Consider the following 19,109-nt stretch of genomic DNA (forward strand, 5'->3'; position numbering starts at 1 on the left):
ATTGTATTCAATTTGACAGTTTTTGCTGATGTTGTGATAGTAGCTACATAATACCTAGACAAACATATCATCCAAATGTTCCTTTCTCCAATTATCAGTTGTCCTTTCAGCACATCTCTCTATAACTGTAATATCTATAAATTTACTCTACTATCAAAAATAATACTTAGTAAGCACCACTGCCAAATGGTATAGAAAGTACTATTTTGTTATGGAAAAGATATAATATAAACATGATTTTATAAAACACAATCCTTCGTGAATGGAAAAAGAAAACTAAAGTCATGCACTTTGTTAATTTGCCTTTCTTTATGTATATATATGTTTGTGTTGTGTAGAATCAGTACAAAATCTAAAAATTAATATAATTATATCACAGAACCACATAAATCTGATTCACATGAACTGAGTGAAATATAAAAATCATTTGATCCAGGCCTGCAAAAGCACTTTATTTGACAATAGCAGTAATTATGACTTTAACAAATGAACAAATATGACAAAACTATTATTATTTTGTTAGACCTCATTATATTTAGTTTAAAATTTTATTGTGAATGTGGAGAATACCTCAATCTTTAAATAAATATGTAGACAAATAAGGGTTAGTTTGATCCCTCAATTTCAGGGAAATTGTTTCTACAGAAACACAGAATCATTTCAAAAGCTTGACAAAACAGATAATCCCACTCCACAGCTACTGATTCATGAGCTGGGTATTTTTTTTAACAAGCCTCAAAGATGACTTTACGGTAAATATTTTCAGGAAATATCATCACCATCATCATCTTGTCAACCATACTGAGTGTTTACTCTGTGATGATTACTATGCAAAGATAATGGCATTCCTTAATTGACTTGTCTTACAATAATTCTATAGTATATGTTCTATTATGTTGCTATTTTATAAATGCAGATACTGAGCATATTGAAGTTAAGTAACTTGTCTTAGCCATAAAGCAATTGGTGGGATTGGAATTAAGACAAAGAATTTTGCTTTCTTTAGAGCTGGTACCTTTAACCAATGTCTTTGCAGAAGCCATTTTCTGGAATACGTATATCTTTAAAAAAAAAAAAAGAAAATGCATGTAGAAGTTGGTTAACACTTATTTATAGAACAGTGTTTTTCAAACTTTTCATAATTTATTCTCCTATCAGAAAGAAATACTGCTGGTGAACCCCAATATTTGTATATGTATTTATATACTAATGATTCACAAACACAAATGTTATCACTATGTAAAGTATTTCCTAAAATGAACTCAAAATTGAAATGCAAAAGAATGAAGTAAAGCATAAATATAAATGAAATTTCTCATATTTTTCCATAGTTCATTTAAAAGCATGGTGAGCCTGCTGTGTTATATAAACACTTCCTTGCAGACTTCCTTGTAAGATGAAGGAGCATGGCATAATCATGTTGGATTTTGCGGGTCTGTATCTTCCACCTAAGCCTGTTTGGGGTCTATCATTTTCCCTTTCTTCCTCAAGAGGATAATCAGCAGTGATTTTTTTTATGTATTACTTTTTAAGTTCTCATTTTGTAACATTAAGTCAATGTTGACCCGTAAGTAGAATCTGCATAAAATGTAATGATTTGTACCTCCATGATACCATAGTTTCATGACACTAGTCAAGATTCTTAAACAATCTCAGATTGAGTATCTTCAGCTGCAAGACGATTTAATAAATGTAACCTCTAGATCTTCTGGATAAATCCCATTAAAAATAACAGAAACTGTAGTTAGAATATATCAAGTGTTTAATAAAGGTCCTCATGTCATATAAACATGAGATTTATTTAAATACTTATAATGTCTGACTTCTTTAAATAAATGCTTATTAATCAGTTCCTGGAGTGCATAAGATAATCACTGGTAATCACCCATTGCTACAAGAATCATCAAAGGAGCAGCTCTCAATATAAATGCTATTTAAGCCATGCAGGAGAGGGCTCCTTCCAAGTCAGAACGATTGAAAACGGGAAATATTTGCTATGATCATTTACAAATGATTTTAGGTGTATACACCGAAGATTAGTGTGCACAGTTTCTATTATGTAAAATTTTCAGAGTTGGCAGTAGACAACAGTACAAATCTATCATAAATACTTATAAAAACTAAGAGAGTTTAGATAGAATTTTAATTTAGCAGAAGGTTAAAATTCTTACCTTATATTGTCACTGTCACGTCCGAATATAGATTTTGAAAATCATTGATAATCTAGCAACTTACAAGTGGAATTCTATTTACCTACTTTCCTATTTACTTTAATGGAAAAAACATTCCTGAAAAGTCATATTGGTATTTGAGGAAAATTAAATCTTGGGGTTCTATTTTGAAGACATTTTTTGCACATTCTGGACATAATATCTTCAGATTATGTGGCTTCAGTGAGTATCTGCCTACTGCATCACAAAACAGTCTAAGCAATCCATATTTATCTCTTTTCTAATCTCCAGACCTACAGAACTACTTTCCACGAGGCATTTCAAAGTGCATACTGAAATTCTTACTTTCTATTCACTCTTCCACCTAATCGTTATGTTCCTTCTTTCCCTTAATGAAATCAGCATCCTGTTGAAAGCTCACACTTGAATAAAAGGTTCTTCTCTAATGTTTCCTTCAGCTAACCTCCCATATACATACATTTGAGCATGAAGCCTGACTAGAGATGAACTATGATTAATTCTATGTCTTAAATCCCTCAAGTAAATTCATTTACCTCCTATTACCTCCAAGTTCTTAATTCATAATAATTTTAAAATCTTTATTTTGTACATATTCAAATATGAACAAATAATTGTACATATTTATGGGATACAGAGTGATATTTTGATACATGTATTCAATGTGTGATGATAAAATCAGGGTAATTAGGACAACAATCACCTCAAACATTTATCTTTGTGTGTATGTGTTAGGAACATTCTGAATCCTCTCCTAGCTTTTTAAAAAGTATAAATTAAATTATTGTTAACCATATTCACTGTACAGTGCTATAGAAAAGACGAATTTGTTCCTCCTCTCTAGCCATAACTTTATATCTATTAAACAATCTTTCCCCATTTCCTCTTCTTCCATTCTTTCCTTTCTCTAATAATCATAATTCTTCACTCTATTTCTGTTAGCTTAATTTTATTCTAGCTTTCAAATAACAGTTAGAACTTGCAGTGTTTATCTTTCTGTGCCTGACCTATTTCACTTAAAGTAATGCAGTCCAGGTTCATCCATGTTGCTGTGAATGATAGAATTTCATTCTTTTCTATGGCTGAATAGTATTTCATTGTGTATATACACCACATTTTATTTATTCTTTTATTTCTTGATGGACACTTAGTTTTCTTCCATATATTGGCTATTGTGAATTGCAATACATATATTGCAATACACATTGGAATGCAGATATATTTTCAATATACTGATGTTCTTTCATTTCAATAAATACCCAGTAGTGAGATTGCTGAATCATATATTACTTCTATCTAGTTCTATTTTTAGTTTTTGGAGAAACCTTCATACTGTTTTACATAATGGCTGTACTATTTTACCTTCTCAGCAACAATGAAGGAGTTCCATTTTCTCCACATTCACAACAGTATTTTTTTTTAGACTTTTTGATAATGGACATTCTAACTGGGGTGAAATAATATCTCATTGTGATTTTGATTTGCATTTCCCTGATGATTAGTGATGTTGAAAATTTTTCCATATACTTATTGGCCTTAGTTCATAAATTCTTGTTATAAATTGTTTATAATAACAGCAAAATAAATAGGAATTGTATTTTTGAAAGTAACCAATAATGTTTCTGGAGTGTTAAATACTGAAAGTCATTTTATTTTCAATCTCACATCTGTGACTCTATCTTAAAGAAATAAATTGATATCTAAAATGTTCTTATACAAAAAAATTTATCAATGTATTATTTATTGTGTCTAAACTTAAAACCTAATTGCTGAGATAAGCCATGTACTTTTTGACATATAAGTTCTCTTAAGTGTTTAAAGATGTTGGATAGGATTATGGCAAAGATATTTGGAGACTTGCATAGTAGAAAAACTTAGTAGTCGAAAAAACCTCAGGGTATCAAGAAAGTAGAGTTCTACATCACATTGTATTAAAAAATAAACTAGTGTTAACAGATGAACACAAAAATATATATATTTTCTAATTTGTCACTGAAAGAGACCACAACATAAAGAATAATTCTGGTTATTTCTTCCACTAATGTACACCATAAGTTTCCAATTCTGATCTTTTATATCGGCCTTCAATTAAGAAAAATTAATAATTTGCTGTATAGCTGAAGAGAAGTTTTAGGAGTGAATCTCAGGAAACAGAAATAATGAATTGAAGGGTAACTGGAGGTTAAGAATGAAGTTCCACAATTCAAAGTAGTCTTTCAAAGAAGTTGCTGAGAGAGGGAAAACAGAGAGTTGGGATGATAGCAATGAGAGGTTTGGAGTTAATGAGGATTTTTTAGAAGATAGATAATGTGCTGAATGAAAATGGGCTAAATGCCCCACTTTTTAAAGACCCAACTGTGTGCTGAATTAAAAATATCTGTTTCATGTACAATGACACCCACAGGCTCAAAGTAGAGGAATGGAGAAAGATCTATGAAGCAAACAGAAAACAAGAAAGAGCAGGAGCTACTATTCTTCTTTCAGACAAAACAGACAACTATCAAAAACGACAAAAATCGGCATTACATAATGATAAAGGGTTCAATTCAACAAGAAGACTTAATTATACTAAATATATATGCACCCAACACTGGAGAACCAAGATTTAGAAACCAAGGTATTGAAGACCTACGAAGAAACTTAGATAACCACACAATCATAATTGGGAGACTTTAACACCCCAATGACAGTATCAGACACACTAATGAGTTAGAAAACTAATAAAGATATTCAGAACCTAAACTTGACACTTTACCAAATGGAACTAACAGACAACTACAGAGCAGTCCATCAAACAACGGTAGAATATACATTCTTCTTATGTACGTATGGCACATGCTCTAAAATCAACCACACACTTGGCCATAAAGCAATTCTCAACATGTTCAAAAAGCCCAAAGTCATACGAATCACAGTCTTGGAACACAGTGCAATAACAATAAAAATAAATAACCCAAATGTCCAACAATGATACACTGGATTAAGAAAATGTGGCACATATACACCATGGAATACTATGCAGCCATAAAAAATTATGAGTTCATGTCCTTTGTAGGGACATGGATGAAATTGGAAATCATCATTCTCAGTAAACTATCGCAAGAACAAAAAACCAAACACTGCATATTCTCACTCATAGGTGGGAATTGAACAATGAGAACACATGGACACAGGAAGGGGAACATCACACTCTGGGGACTGTTGTGGGGTGGGGGGAGGGGGGAGGGATAGCATTGGGAGATATACCTAATGCTAGATAACGAGTTAGTGGGTGCAGCGCACCAGCATGGCACATGTATACATATGTAACTAACCTGCATATTGTGCACATGTACCCTAAAACTTAAAGTATAATAATAATAAATAAAATTAAATTAAAAAAAAAAGAAAATCACTCAAACCATACAGTTACATGGAAATTAAACAAATTGCTCCTGAACGACCTTCAGGTCAACAATGAAATTAAGGCAGAAAGGAAGAAGTTCTTTGAAACTAATGAAAATATAGACACAACATACCAGAATCTCTGGAACACTGCTAAAGCAGTGTTAAGAGGAAAGTTTATTAGTCTTAAATGTCCATATCAAAAAGTTAGAAAGATCTTTACTTAATAACGTAACATCACACCTAGAGGAAATACAAAAACAAGAGCAAACCAACCCAGAGTTAACATAAAAAATAGCTAGCTGAGCTGAAAGAAATGGAGACATGAAAAACACACATAACATCAACAAAACCAAAGTTGTTCTTTGAAAGAATAAATAAGATTAGTATAGTACTAGAAGACTAATAAAGAAAAAAAAAAGGATCCAAATAAACACAACTGGAAATGTCCAAGGGGACATTACCACCGGCCCCACAGAAAAAAAAAAAAAAAAAAAAAACCTGAGAGACTCTATGCACACATAGTAGAAAACCTAGAAGACATTGATAAATTCCTGGAAACATACAACCACCCAAGACTGAATCAGGAAGAAACTGAAAGAGATTAATAGTGAGTTCCAAAATTGAATCAGTAATAAAAAACCTACCCAAAAGGAAAAGCCTTGGACTAGACGAATTCACAGCCAAATTATACCAGATACTATAAAGAAGACGGGGTATCAATTTTACTGAAACTATTTCAAAAATTTGAGGAGGATGGACTCCTTTCTAACTCGTTCTATAAGGCCGGCATCATTCTAATACCAAAATCTGTCAGAGACTCAATAGCAGAAGAAAACTTCAGGCCAATATCCTGGTGAACATAGATTCAAAAGTCCTCAACAAAATACTAACAAACCAAATACAGCAACATATCAAATTCAATCCATCATGATAAGATTACCTTGTTTCCTGGGATGCAAGATTAGTTTAACATATGTAAATAAATAAATGTGATTCATAACATAAGCAGAACTAGAAACAAAAATCACATGATCATGTCCATACACACAGAAAAGCTTCTGATAACATTTAATATCTCTTCATATTAAAAACCCTGAAAAAAAGGCATAAAAGGGACATACCTGAAATATAATAAGAGCCATCTATGACAAATTCACAGCAAACATGATACTGAATGGGCAAGCGCTGGAAACATTTCCCTTGAGAACTGGAACAAGACAAGGATGCTGACTCTCACCACTCCTATTTAATATAGCTGTGGAAGTCCTAACCAGAGAAATAAGTCAAGATACAGAATTAAAAGGCAAACATATAGGAAGAGATAATGTCAAAATATCTCTCTTCACAGATAATATGATTCTATACCTAGAAAAGTCTGCCCAGAGGTTCCTAGATCTCATTAAAATTTCAACAAAGTTTTGGGATACAATATCAAGGTACAAAAATCAGTAACATTTCTATATACTGAGAACGTCCATGCTGAGAGCCAAATCAAGACCACAATCCCACTCAAATAGCCACAAATAGAATAAAATACCTAGGAACACAGCTAGTCAGGGAGGTGTAATTTCTCTATAATGAGAGTTACAAAAGTTACTGAAAATCAAAGAGGACACAAATAAATGAAAAAACATTCCATGCTCATGGATAGGATTAATCAATATTGTTAAAATGACCATAATCCTCAAGGAATTTACAGTTTCAATGCTATTTTTATCAAACTACCAAAGACATTCATCACAAAATTAAAAAAAATCATACTAGGCCGGGCGCGGTGGCTCACGCCTGTAGTCCCAGCACTTTGGGAGGCCGAGGCGGGCGGATCACGAGGTCAGGAGATCGAGACCATCCCGGCTAAAACGGTGAAACCCCGTCTCTACTAAAAATACAAAAAATTAGCCGGGCGTAGTGGCGGGCGCCTGTAGTCCCAGCTACTTGGGAGGCTGAGGCAGGAGAATGGCGTTAACCCGGGAGGCGGAGCTTGCAGTGAGCCGAGATCCCGCCACTGCACTCCAGCCTGGGCGACAGAGCGAGACTCCATCTCAAAAAAAAAAAAAAAAAAAAATCATACTAATGTTCACAGGAAACCACAAAAGAGCCCAAAGAGCCAAAGCAATCTTAAGTTAAAAAAAAAAAAAAAAAGCTGGAAGAACCACACTACCTGACTTAAAAGTGTACTACAAGGCTACAGTAATTAAAACAGTATGGTACTGGTACAAAAACAGACTCATAGACCAACAGAACTGGTTAGAGAACCTAGAGGCTGCATATCCACAACCATCTGATCTTCGATGAAGCCATCCATAATAAGCAATGGGGAAAGGACTCCTTTTAAATAAGTGGTGCTGGGATAACTGGCTAGGCATATTCAGAAGATTTAAACTGGACCCCTTCCTTCCACCATATAAAAAAATCAGTACAGATTAAATACTTAAATGTAAATCCTACAACTATAAACACCCTAGGAGAAAACCTAGGAAATACTATTCTGGACATAGGCCCTGGCAAAGATTCCATAACAGACTCCAAAAGTGATTGGAACAAAAATTAAAATTGACATGTGGGACCTAATCAAACTAAAGAGCTTCTGCACAGCAAAAGAAAGTATCAACGGAGCAAACAGACAACACACAGAATCAGAGAAAATATTTGCAAACTATTCATCCGACAAATCCAGAATCTATAAGGTACTTAAACAAATCAGCAAGCAAAAAACAAACAACCCCATTTAAACATGGGCAAAAGATATGAACAGAGGCTTCTCAAAAGAAGACATGCACACAGCCAACAAGCCTATTAAAAAATGAGAACACCTGGACACAAGAAGGGGAACATCACACACCTGGGCCTGTCATGGGGTGGGAGGAAGGGGGAAGGATAGCATTAGGAGATATACCTAATGTAAATGACGAGTTAATGGGTGCAGCACACCAACATGGCACATGTATACATATGTAACAAATCTGCACGTGGTGCACATGTACCCTAGAACTTACAGTATAAAAAAAAATATTCCAAATATCACTAATCATTAGAGAAATGCAAATCAAGGTCACAATGATATACCATCTCACGCCAGTCAGAATGGCTATTACTATGTCAGAATATAACAGATGCTGGCAAATTTGCATAGAAAAGGGAATTCTTACACACTGCTGATGTGAATGTAAATTAGTTCAGCCACTATGAAAAGCAGTTTGGAGATATCTCAAAGATCTTAGAACTACCACTCAACTCGGCAACCCTAGTAGTGGATTATATCACTACCATTCAACTCAGCAATCCTAGTAGTGGATTATTAACTATATATTTGAAGGAATATATAGTTCTACCATAAAGATATATGCACAAATATGTTCATCACAGCACTTTTCACAATAGGAAAGACATGGAATCAACCTGGATGCTCATCAACAATGGACATAATAAGGAAATCTGACACATTTACACAATGGAATACTATACAGCCATAAAAATGAGATCATGTCCTTTGCCCCAATAGGATGGAACTGGAGGCCATTATCTCAAGCAAACTAATGCAAGAACAGAAAATCAAATACTGCATGTTCTCACTTATAAGTGGAAAACTTAACATTGAGTACACATGGACAGCACAGTAATAGACACTGGGGCCTAACCTACTTCAGGGTGGGGTGAGGAGAGGGCGAGAATCAAAAAACTATCTGTCAGGTAGTATTATCACTACCTGGGTGATGATATAATTTGTACACTAAACCGCAGCAACATGCAATTTACACATGTAACAAGCTAGCACATGTACCCCCTGAAACTCAGAGTTAGAAAGTAAAAATTTAATTGAAGCTATAATAAAATATAGAATACTAAAATGGAAAGTACACTTCAAAGACATGCTATAAAAGGTAAATAAGAATATATTATTATTTTGATACAAAATATTTTGGAATTCAATCTCAAGATAAGAATTATTTTAGTTTCAAATTGTATAATATAAAATTGAATGTTTAGCCTCTTTCATAAAGGATATAATGTAAAAAATTGTATCACTTGTTTTATATTTATTTTTTATATTTTCTGCATATTAACTTAAATTCATATTTGTAAAACTTTATTTTGTTGAGTTTATTCAGAGTATTTAATCATGAAAAGGTATTGTCAACATAAAACGTGGTGCCAGATGGACTAGGTTAGCACAATGTTTAATGCTATTATTGCATATTTTGGGGATTTTTTTTAATTGTCTGCTATGAGCTGTGTATGAAGAATGACTAAGTAATATTCAGCCAGCACGGAAAGAGAAATATCACATTTTGTCATCTTTATGTGGAATCTAAAACAATGGAACTCATAGAGGCATAAAGTAGACTGGTATTTACAGAGGCTGGTGGGGTGGGGCAGATGAGGAAATGAAGGTCAAATCTCAGACAGGAGGAGTATGTTTCACGTTTCAGAAGGGGTTCTATTAGACAGTGTGGCGAATACAGTTAATAGTAGAGTATTCTACATTTCAAAATTCCTAAGAGAGCAAAGTTTAAATGTTCTCACCACAAAAAATGTTAAATATTTGAGGTGATGGATATATTAACTAGCCTGATTTAATCATTCCACATTGTTTTCATGAATTCTAACATCAGTTTATGTCTCATAAATTTATTCAATTATAAATTGTCAATTTTCAATAAAAAATAAATATTGAAAACATCCTATAAACAGATTAATAAATTGTTTTAACATTAATGGCATGAATATAGGATAAATAAATTTCTACTTTTTAATTCCCAAAATGAGAAATTCAAGAATATCACCTTAATTATAAACAAAAATGTGTATGGTATAAAACAAAACAGAAGTGTTTTGAGTTTTTTAAACACAGAAGACAGTAAAGTATACGTCCAAGGGTTGTATGTAATGGGTTAAAAATATGTATCAACTTAAGGAAGGAAAACAGTCATGAACGTTTATGAAACAGTCGTGAATATAGTTAATTCATGTTACAAGCTGGATTTAAAAATAAAGATAGATAGGATATCTTAAGTATGTAAATCCTTTGAAATTTGTGCCAGATAGAATAAACATACTTTCTTTTAGTACTTAAATGTAACAGCATTTAGTATAATCTAAATGCGTGACTGGGATTATTGAATAAATAAATGTGACTTTATTCCTAAAATTTTAAATTATGTGGACTCTGAACCTGCACCAAATTGTCAATAAGTATACAGACAGCTAGAATATGCTGTTGAAAGGGATGATGTTTTATATAAAATAATTCCTTACTTTATTTTTTAAAAATCTGGCAACCCTAAAGTTCTAATGTTTTGTTTCATAATATTTAAGGGTCAGTTAAGTAATGTCTTGCTGAGATTTTTAATATTTAACTCACTCTCTTAAAAGTCTATTGCTTTTTCCTTTTTTATGCACAAAAAAATCTCAATGACATGATTATAATCTCATAAAAATCATATTTGTGAGTTAAGAATTGTATGTTTTAAACACTGGTTTAAAAATGCAATACACACACACGTACACAAAATGACAACATCGCTTTGTATCTTTAAAAATACTTTAAATTAAATTTCATGTAAGTGGTTTTATTAAATCCATATTGTATAAAATGACATGAAAGTTTTATAAATAATTCACATGGTCTTGAAATTATCAAAGGAGTATACACATGCATTCAAAATTATCTGTTAATAGAGAAATGTGTAGCCAGGTACACATATGTGTGTGAAAACATCAATACGCTTATTTATTATTAACCAATAAATTTGGAGTCAAATCCTCATATGCCTACAGGGTTGGGTTATTCTATAAGCATTCGATAAAAGAGAGAAAATAATCAAAAATAAACCAATGTCTTACATAGTCTCCCAAAGAAAAGTGTTATTTAGAAGAAGGGGAATTATATCCACCTGACGAGTGACATTATAGCCCATTTATTTCTCATCAAATACTATGGGGGAAGAGTTACATTTTGCTTTACCAGTTCAAGAGCAATTTCAAGCACTGTCAAGAAGTATTTGCTTAGTGACAAATGACACTACTCTCTTGAAAATTCAGAGATGCATCTATACCTTTTCTCTTTGCCTTTATTATTATTCTAGTTACATTTTATGTTTATCTTTATGTTTAGTAGTATTATCTCTACATCAAGGAAAGTCATATATTCTCCACCAGGCCTTTTTAGGAATAAAATAGATGGCAAACTCTCTGACACAATTTAACTATAAAACAACTTAAAGTCAAAAAAATAGCGACTTCTTTTCTGTGATGTATTTATGATTTGCTCATTTCCACAGGAATGACATTTCTAAATTTTGCACACAGATAAAACTGCCTAGGTTATTTTAAGACATGACTGATGTGCCAAAATTATCCCCACTTTAATACAGTATCTTGCAAATTTGCAAATTTCATTTATCATGAAACTTCTTAGAATTAAAAAACAGCTAAACTGGATCTACTGCTCTGGTATGTTGAGAAACCACTGTCCTAAAATAACATTTCAAATTTCACGTGTTGTGCCAAGGCAGGATTTTTAAAAATGATGTTTTGCTTTAATCTTAAGACATACTTGGATGATTCTGAATATAATTATTGAGTAATTAATGTGACACATTTTGACAAAGGTATGTATTCTAGAGTATGTTTTAAATTCAGACAAGCATTCTCTTAACGAATCATATCAGCATATTCAAGAGGGCAGGCATCATTTGAAAAGGAAATTGATCTGTTACACATTTTGACAGGCTTTAGAGCATTTAGCTGTGTTCTCTCAATTGAAAGGTGGTGAGAGTGGGTAAAAAAAAACGCTGTAAGGGTACAGTTTATCTTGTTTTGTTTTGATTTGATTTTAAAGTGGCAAACATCTTTCTAGTCACTTTTGCAAAGACACTCATTTTGTCAATCAGGGGCTGTCTTCACCATTGATAGAAAGGATTCCTGTGGGATTATTATTACGTTCCATACTTAGTTGTGTTTCAACTTCAATCTGTTTCACCAAAGCAAAGATACAGGTGATAGAAGATCATCGATGTTAAAGGAAATCGTCGTGACAACAAATTTTTCTTATTCACCAGCATGGTTCTCAAACACTTGGTTAGGAGCAATAAATTCTCATGTAAAGAAGGTATATAGAAAGATCAATATCTCCTTTTAAACAGTTTAACACATTTATTCCTAATGCATTACTACTCACTAACATGCTGAATACTGCTATGTAATGTTTTAAACATAACATATATTTAAGAGTACATGCTAAGATCATGAGTGGCAAAAATGATCAGTTGATATTTAGTTATAGATGATATGTATCAGATTATATGTAGCTGTATTAGGAGAAATTCCTGAAAGATGGATCTGGTTTCTTAATAATGCATAGGAGGCATCTGTGCACATCATTTTAAAGCATCTTCAATTTATGATAATTTAATCAAAAATTTTTTTATGTTTCTTGAGGAAATGTACCTTACAAACATTCCTAAGTGAAAAACAAAACAAAACAAAAAATATAAGTAGAAGACATATGCTTTTCGATATATGCAGATGTGTCTGTGTGTGCCTAAAATTATAAATATTTCACTGGAGCCTAAGTAAAGAATTTACTAATGTGTAAGACTGTAAAAATCAGATATTTATATAATGATATGAGCATTTCGTTCACTGTTATAAAGGCTTGGTAAAGTGGAAAACATATGTAAAGGAAAGGAGATCTGGTGGTTTCTAAATGACATAAATTGATTGTTTAAAAATTTTGAATAATTGCAGACAATAATGAAATGCTTATTCCTTTTAAAAATAAATTGTTAGTTATTTTATTTGGTCAATATAAATGTTCACATTACATTGAAATTTAAATTCTTTGAAATCAAAAATTATAGTAAGTAGGCATACTGCTGATAATTACAATATTAAGAATTTGAAAAAAGAATATATTAATGCATATAATTTTACTTAATATTGTAACTACATCTAAAACATAAATATATATTACTAAATTTTCAAATATTTTATCTAAATAATGTCTTTCTTACAGATATATTAATTCAACAAATGAATTAATAGAGCTAAAATATAAATTGACATAATCTAAAGAAAACCTTTGCCACTCTATTTAGGTATTTTTTGTTGCTAAATATTTTATGTTTTTATATTTAATAGATTTATTAAATCCCTTTGGTAAACTTATTTTGAAATATTTTATTATAATTAGTTATTCAATTAAAATTGCATGTACCAAATTAGAATTGAAACAATATAAAATGTCTTTTACAGTATGCATTTTCCTAATTTATACTTTTCTTAATTTATACTTTCATATTTGAGAAATTACCTTTTGTGTTATGTATAAATGTTATAATACATATAGGTAAATTAATATGCCTGTACAATTTTAGGCATATATGTGTTTTTATTCATAGCAATGCTAATATTTTAATTTTTTTGGAATTATAATATACTTAAAATTTTTCATATTTATTCTGTATATATTTTTTCTCATATACTTAATGATGACAACTCTATTGTTCATATTACCTGATATACATGGTAAATACATGATAAATAAAAAATAAAACCCTGAACAAAGAAAAAAGTGCAAAGAAAGACATGCAAAGAAAGGTTGATTCATTTATTCTAAGAAACTTGAGAAGTTTTAAATATCCTAACATAGGTGTAACTTCCCCCCAACACCAACAATCTGTATTACAGAGATGGAGAACTGTTCTCACAAATACGTGTTTTGAGAAAGTTCAGTACAAGTACACATCATGGTTTTAAAATTTTTAGAATATTTTCCTTATTTCCTATGTAAATATTTTCCTTAATATTTTTAGAATATTTTCCTAGCAACATTTTGTCATGTACTTTTTGACCTATTGACTCATTAAAGATGATGCATGTAGTTTATAATATGCCTGATTATCACAGTCTTACCTTTGTAACTTCAACTTCTAGAAGTTCTGTGAAAACTGAACAGCAAACTTCGTGTTGGACACATAAGGAAGAGTAGGAAAAACTTTCTTCTTTTTGCTTCACAGTCTTCTCAGCAAACTCTCGATGTGCCCCATTGCCCAGAGTTACAGACGCTTGTGCTTTTAGTACCACAACACTGTCAGTATGTCACTGCTTACTCAATGCTATTTTGGGTTCTCTGAGTAGAGTCATAAACACTGAGCCTTTTGTGCAAAATATCATAAGGGCACTCTGACGCTCGTTCATAGTCTGGAATTAAAATGCAGACAGCTACGCAAGTAGTATGAGCTGATTATCTTTGTTTTTTTTTTTTTTCCCCTAACAACAAGCAAAAACAAAATAAAGTACTTATTGGCCTGAGTTGATAAAGGGAGAATTCAACTTACATACAAGAATTTTGCAAGTAGAGCGGACGTGCCCTCTGTTTGGGGATTAGCTGATGAAACAAATGATCAATTTAAAGCAGACCCAAAACTTACTGAAAAGAGAAATGATTTTCCACTGTGTGTCTATGCCTCATGGCTGTTTCTTAATTCGGTCATTTCTCCTCAGAAATCAAGTAAAGACATAATGAGAGAGAAATGTCTAAACTTTAATAAGTCCTTTTCTTTTCCTTGGTTTATTATTATGTAAAATCTTTTATTTTATTCATGGTTATAATTAGATTTTGATATAAGCTATTATTATTTAACATAAAATACATATGTATTTTCTATGCTGTTTACTCAAGCTGTTATTTACTTAAAAACCATTTTTGAACCAAACTAGAGAAACATTAAAATATTAAAAGTTTCTTAAATTATACCTATATAATAAGAAAGTCTATGTGGGGCAGGATTATTCAAGCATCCTGTTAATTCTGATAGATATTTTGGTCACTATCCTCTTAGCTTTTGAGGAAAGAAATGGCAAAAGCTATATGGGCAGTAAAGTAGGACACTCAAGCACACACATATACACACATGCACATGTGCACACATGCATACACATACATGTGCACACACATACATATGCACACACACGCACAAATGCACATCCTATGAGGTTGTGAATATTAGGAGGAATCAATAATTTATGAACAAATCTTGAAGAGATGAACCTGGGAGAATAGATCTGTGGATAGCAGGAACAGTATAATGTGGAAATATTTTATTTTTTCAGGTAGAAAAAAGCATTCAGCTAGAAAAAAACACTTCTAAGTGTTTCAAGATGTTAGTAAATAGGGAAAAAATAAATTTTACAAAGAACCTCTGAAGTATTCTTATACATTTCCCCCTTCATATTTTTTACAGTATCAAAAAAGGTGGAGATACCTGTTTAAAATATTTATTTACATAATTCACTGTTCTGTCTATGACCTAGTCTAGGATTTCTGTAAGAATCTAACATTTTATGAGATGCCAATTTATATCTTGATGTTTATAAAATATCCAGTTGCACTTAGGATTGAAACCACAGTTTAGAGCCTCAGTGTACCTGTAAACATGATGTCCCAAAGGCTTATTTTAGAGCCTAAGGGAGCAAAGGTGGGTCACAATTTGCTGCCCTGATTATTACAGTACCAATAAAGAGCAATGGCAACTATAGAAACCACAGTGAGACAGGATTAAATTTTCTAAAGAAGGTACAGTGTGAAACTACATGTTTTATGTAGAATATCATTAACAGCAAACTGATTTTATTAAATAGATAATCTATTATCAAACACGTACAGGAACTAGTTGCTGTAAATTGCTTAAGAAATGCATGCCCTTTCTGGAAGAGGATATAAGATGAACAGCCGATAGCCAAGGATCCAGCAAGATTCATCCGCTATGCCACAACCAAGAATGAAGACTTGGAAGTACTTAGGGGACTGGTCATCAGATAAGCTTAGTGATTACTTCTTTTTTTTTTTTTTTTTTTTTGAGATGGAATCTCTCTCTGTCGCCCAGGCTGGAGTGCAGTGGCGCAATCTCGGCTCACTGCAAGCTCCACCTCCCGGGTTCACGCCATTCTCCTGCCTCAGCCTCCCGAGTAGCTGGGACTACAGGCGCCCGCCACCACGCCCTGCTAATTTTTTTGTATTTTTAGTAGAGACGGGGTTTCACCATGTTAGCCAGGATGGTCTCGATCTCCTGACTCGTGATCCGCCCGCCTTGGCCTCCCAAAGTGCTGGGATTACAGGCTTGAGCCACCGTACCCGGCCCAGCTTAATGATTACTTCTACGTCATTTTCTTTATAACAAGAGAAATATATCTGACTAATTTTTCATATATGGGGGGGTAATACATAGTAAATGGAACATGACTGTGTAAGAACAGAAGCTCAAAATTAAATACACTACTATCCATATGTAAGTCAGAGTTATCATACTCAGAGTTATCTGAGGTCCCCACAGCAGTAAACATGTGGCAGGATGGACAATTCCCGAAACACAAGTGATGTTTTATAGCTGCACAGTGACATTCTGGTCTATTTTCACATGCAGTCTGGGGGAATTTCACAGTTATCACCTGCCAGCAGGCTAAGGAACAGAGCTTGAAGTTGCAGAAGCCAGGATTGTATTGAGTTACTCTAAATAAAAATTTGAATTCAAGTATTATAATTCAGAGCCACCAATTTTTTAAACCAGATAATTAAGAAATATATATCTAATGACTAACCGCAGACAAGACTGGCTAATGAAGTTTGAATTTAACTGAACAGGCAGAAATGGAAAGTCAAACATTATGCAAGCTCTGATCTGTCCCTTGAAAATAGACATTTAACCAGAAAGTTTAAGTCTACCTACTTTATATCATAGGCTATACATGTGCCTTCAATTAGAAATTTAGGCCTTGTCCAATCAGGTGTTGTCAGGATAGCATAATCTAAGGACCACATCCTTCTCACATGGTCTGGAAGCATTTTAGTTCTTAAAAATATATTTAAGTTGTTTTGGGAAAAGCTTATAATATGTTAATACAAGAACATTTAAAACAGATATTTACTGTATGCTATCACTATATCAATGAGAAATCTATTGACTAGCAAGCAGATAGCAAAATCAAACAAAATCAAATCCAAAAATGAATAGAATAATGAAGAAATTCAATGTATACATAGAGAAATAAAGTAGGGTTAAGGGTTAGTTGATCCAGTGGCTTCCTACTGCAATCAGTTATCTAGGTTCTTGGGCTCTGTTTGGTTCTCCAACTTTTCCTCAAGGCCCTCAAAAACACTGTCACTTTCGTCTTATTCATCAAAATGATCACTTGTCCATGCATGAACAAAGAATGGCAACAAGAAAAGCTTAAAGTAATTGTCATTCCTGAACCTGAGAGAAAGAGTTAGTTGATAGAAAAACAGATTCATTTCCCCAAATTAGAGTGGAGTGGTTGAATCTAGTTGATAACCAACTAGACGTCCAGTGTTCACTTCAGATATTCATGTAAAATAGCTTTTAAAATGCTGAAAATAAAAATAATAATTTTCTCCATGGATTGCCATTAAATGGCATTCTTTTCCAACAGTCCAATTTGCTGTGTTTTCCATTCTGTTTTTAACATTGAATATATATCACAATGATAAATATGGGGAAATAAAAAAATGCACAATGATAGAACAAACAATAAACAAAATATTCACTAATCTATATACTTCTAACCATGCTAAAATACTTTGTATCAAAATTACACAAATTTTGCTCAGAGTAAAGAAATATTGTCTTGAATATGGCAACAATTTGTATGGTTTGAAGATTTATCTTTTAAATTCTAGTTACAGTAGCCACTTGTCTAATATAATAAAAAATTTTATTGTCATATATATGTCCTTATTTTCTTATTTTTGTATTCATTCTTTTTTCTTTTTCTTTTTATATTTAATTAATTAATTAATTCATTTATTTATTTGTTTGTTTGTTTTTTGAGACGGAGTCTTGCTCGGTCACCCTGGCTGGAGTGCAGTGGGGCGATCTCGGCTCACTGCAAGCTCCGCCTCTTGGGTTCAAGCCATTCTCCTGCCTCAGCCTCCCTAATAGCTGGGAGTACAGGCACCTGCCACCATGCCCGGCTAATTTTTTGTATTTTTAGTAGAGGCGGGGTTTCACCGTGTTAGCCAGGATGGTCTCGATCTCCTGACCTCGTGATCTGCCCGCCTCGGCCTCCCAAAGTTGTTTTGTTTTTATTTTCTTTTGTAAGAAGACTTTTCTCTGGAGCAGTATATTTAAGAAATATATATATGTATGTATATTTGCCAAGCCGCAACATAATCTCCATGACGGAAGAAATCCATTATAGTAATTAACAATGAATAAATGTATAAATAACAAAAAAGGCTCATTACAAGAATAATTTAGTAATTGTCAATATGCAAACAAACAACCCAAAATACTTAAATTCAGACATAAACGTGTAGAGGTATGTCAGCCTTGTTTTCTGTTTATATTACCAGAATTTATTAGAAACATCTCACCTAGGCACCAACCTCTTTGAAACGGTAGATTAACTTTTACTTTTTCTTTCACCAGGACAATATTAATATGAACATTTAATTTCTGGAAGAGTTTCCATGTTTTTATAAAATTTTGGTTACTTCTTAAATTTATAGATCAT

General features: G+C 32.6%; 1 protein-coding gene across 6 annotated transcripts in view; it reads right to left on the minus strand.

Moving 5' to 3' along the window:
- CDH19 (cadherin 19) overlaps positions 1 to 14,629 on the minus strand; it is a 103,008-nt gene extending 88,379 nt beyond the window's left edge. For 4 of the 6 annotated variants that reach the window (NR_073130.2, NM_001271028.2, NM_021153.4 and 1 more), the window contains exon 1: positions 14,493 to 14,629. The gene's annotated coding sequence lies outside the window, so the exon portion shown is untranslated. Of the gene's footprint in view, positions 1 to 6,697; positions 6,904 to 14,492 lie in introns of those variants that run through there. The other 2 variants (XM_047437484.1, XM_047437485.1) reach the window with 2 other exon arrangements.
- Positions 14,630 to 19,109: the final 4,480 nt, after the last annotated feature.

Source organism: Homo sapiens, chromosome 18 (assembly GCF_000001405.40).
Source record: "Homo sapiens chromosome 18, GRCh38.p14 Primary Assembly".
Taxonomy (NCBI): Eukaryota; Metazoa; Chordata; class Mammalia; order Primates; family Hominidae; genus Homo; species Homo sapiens.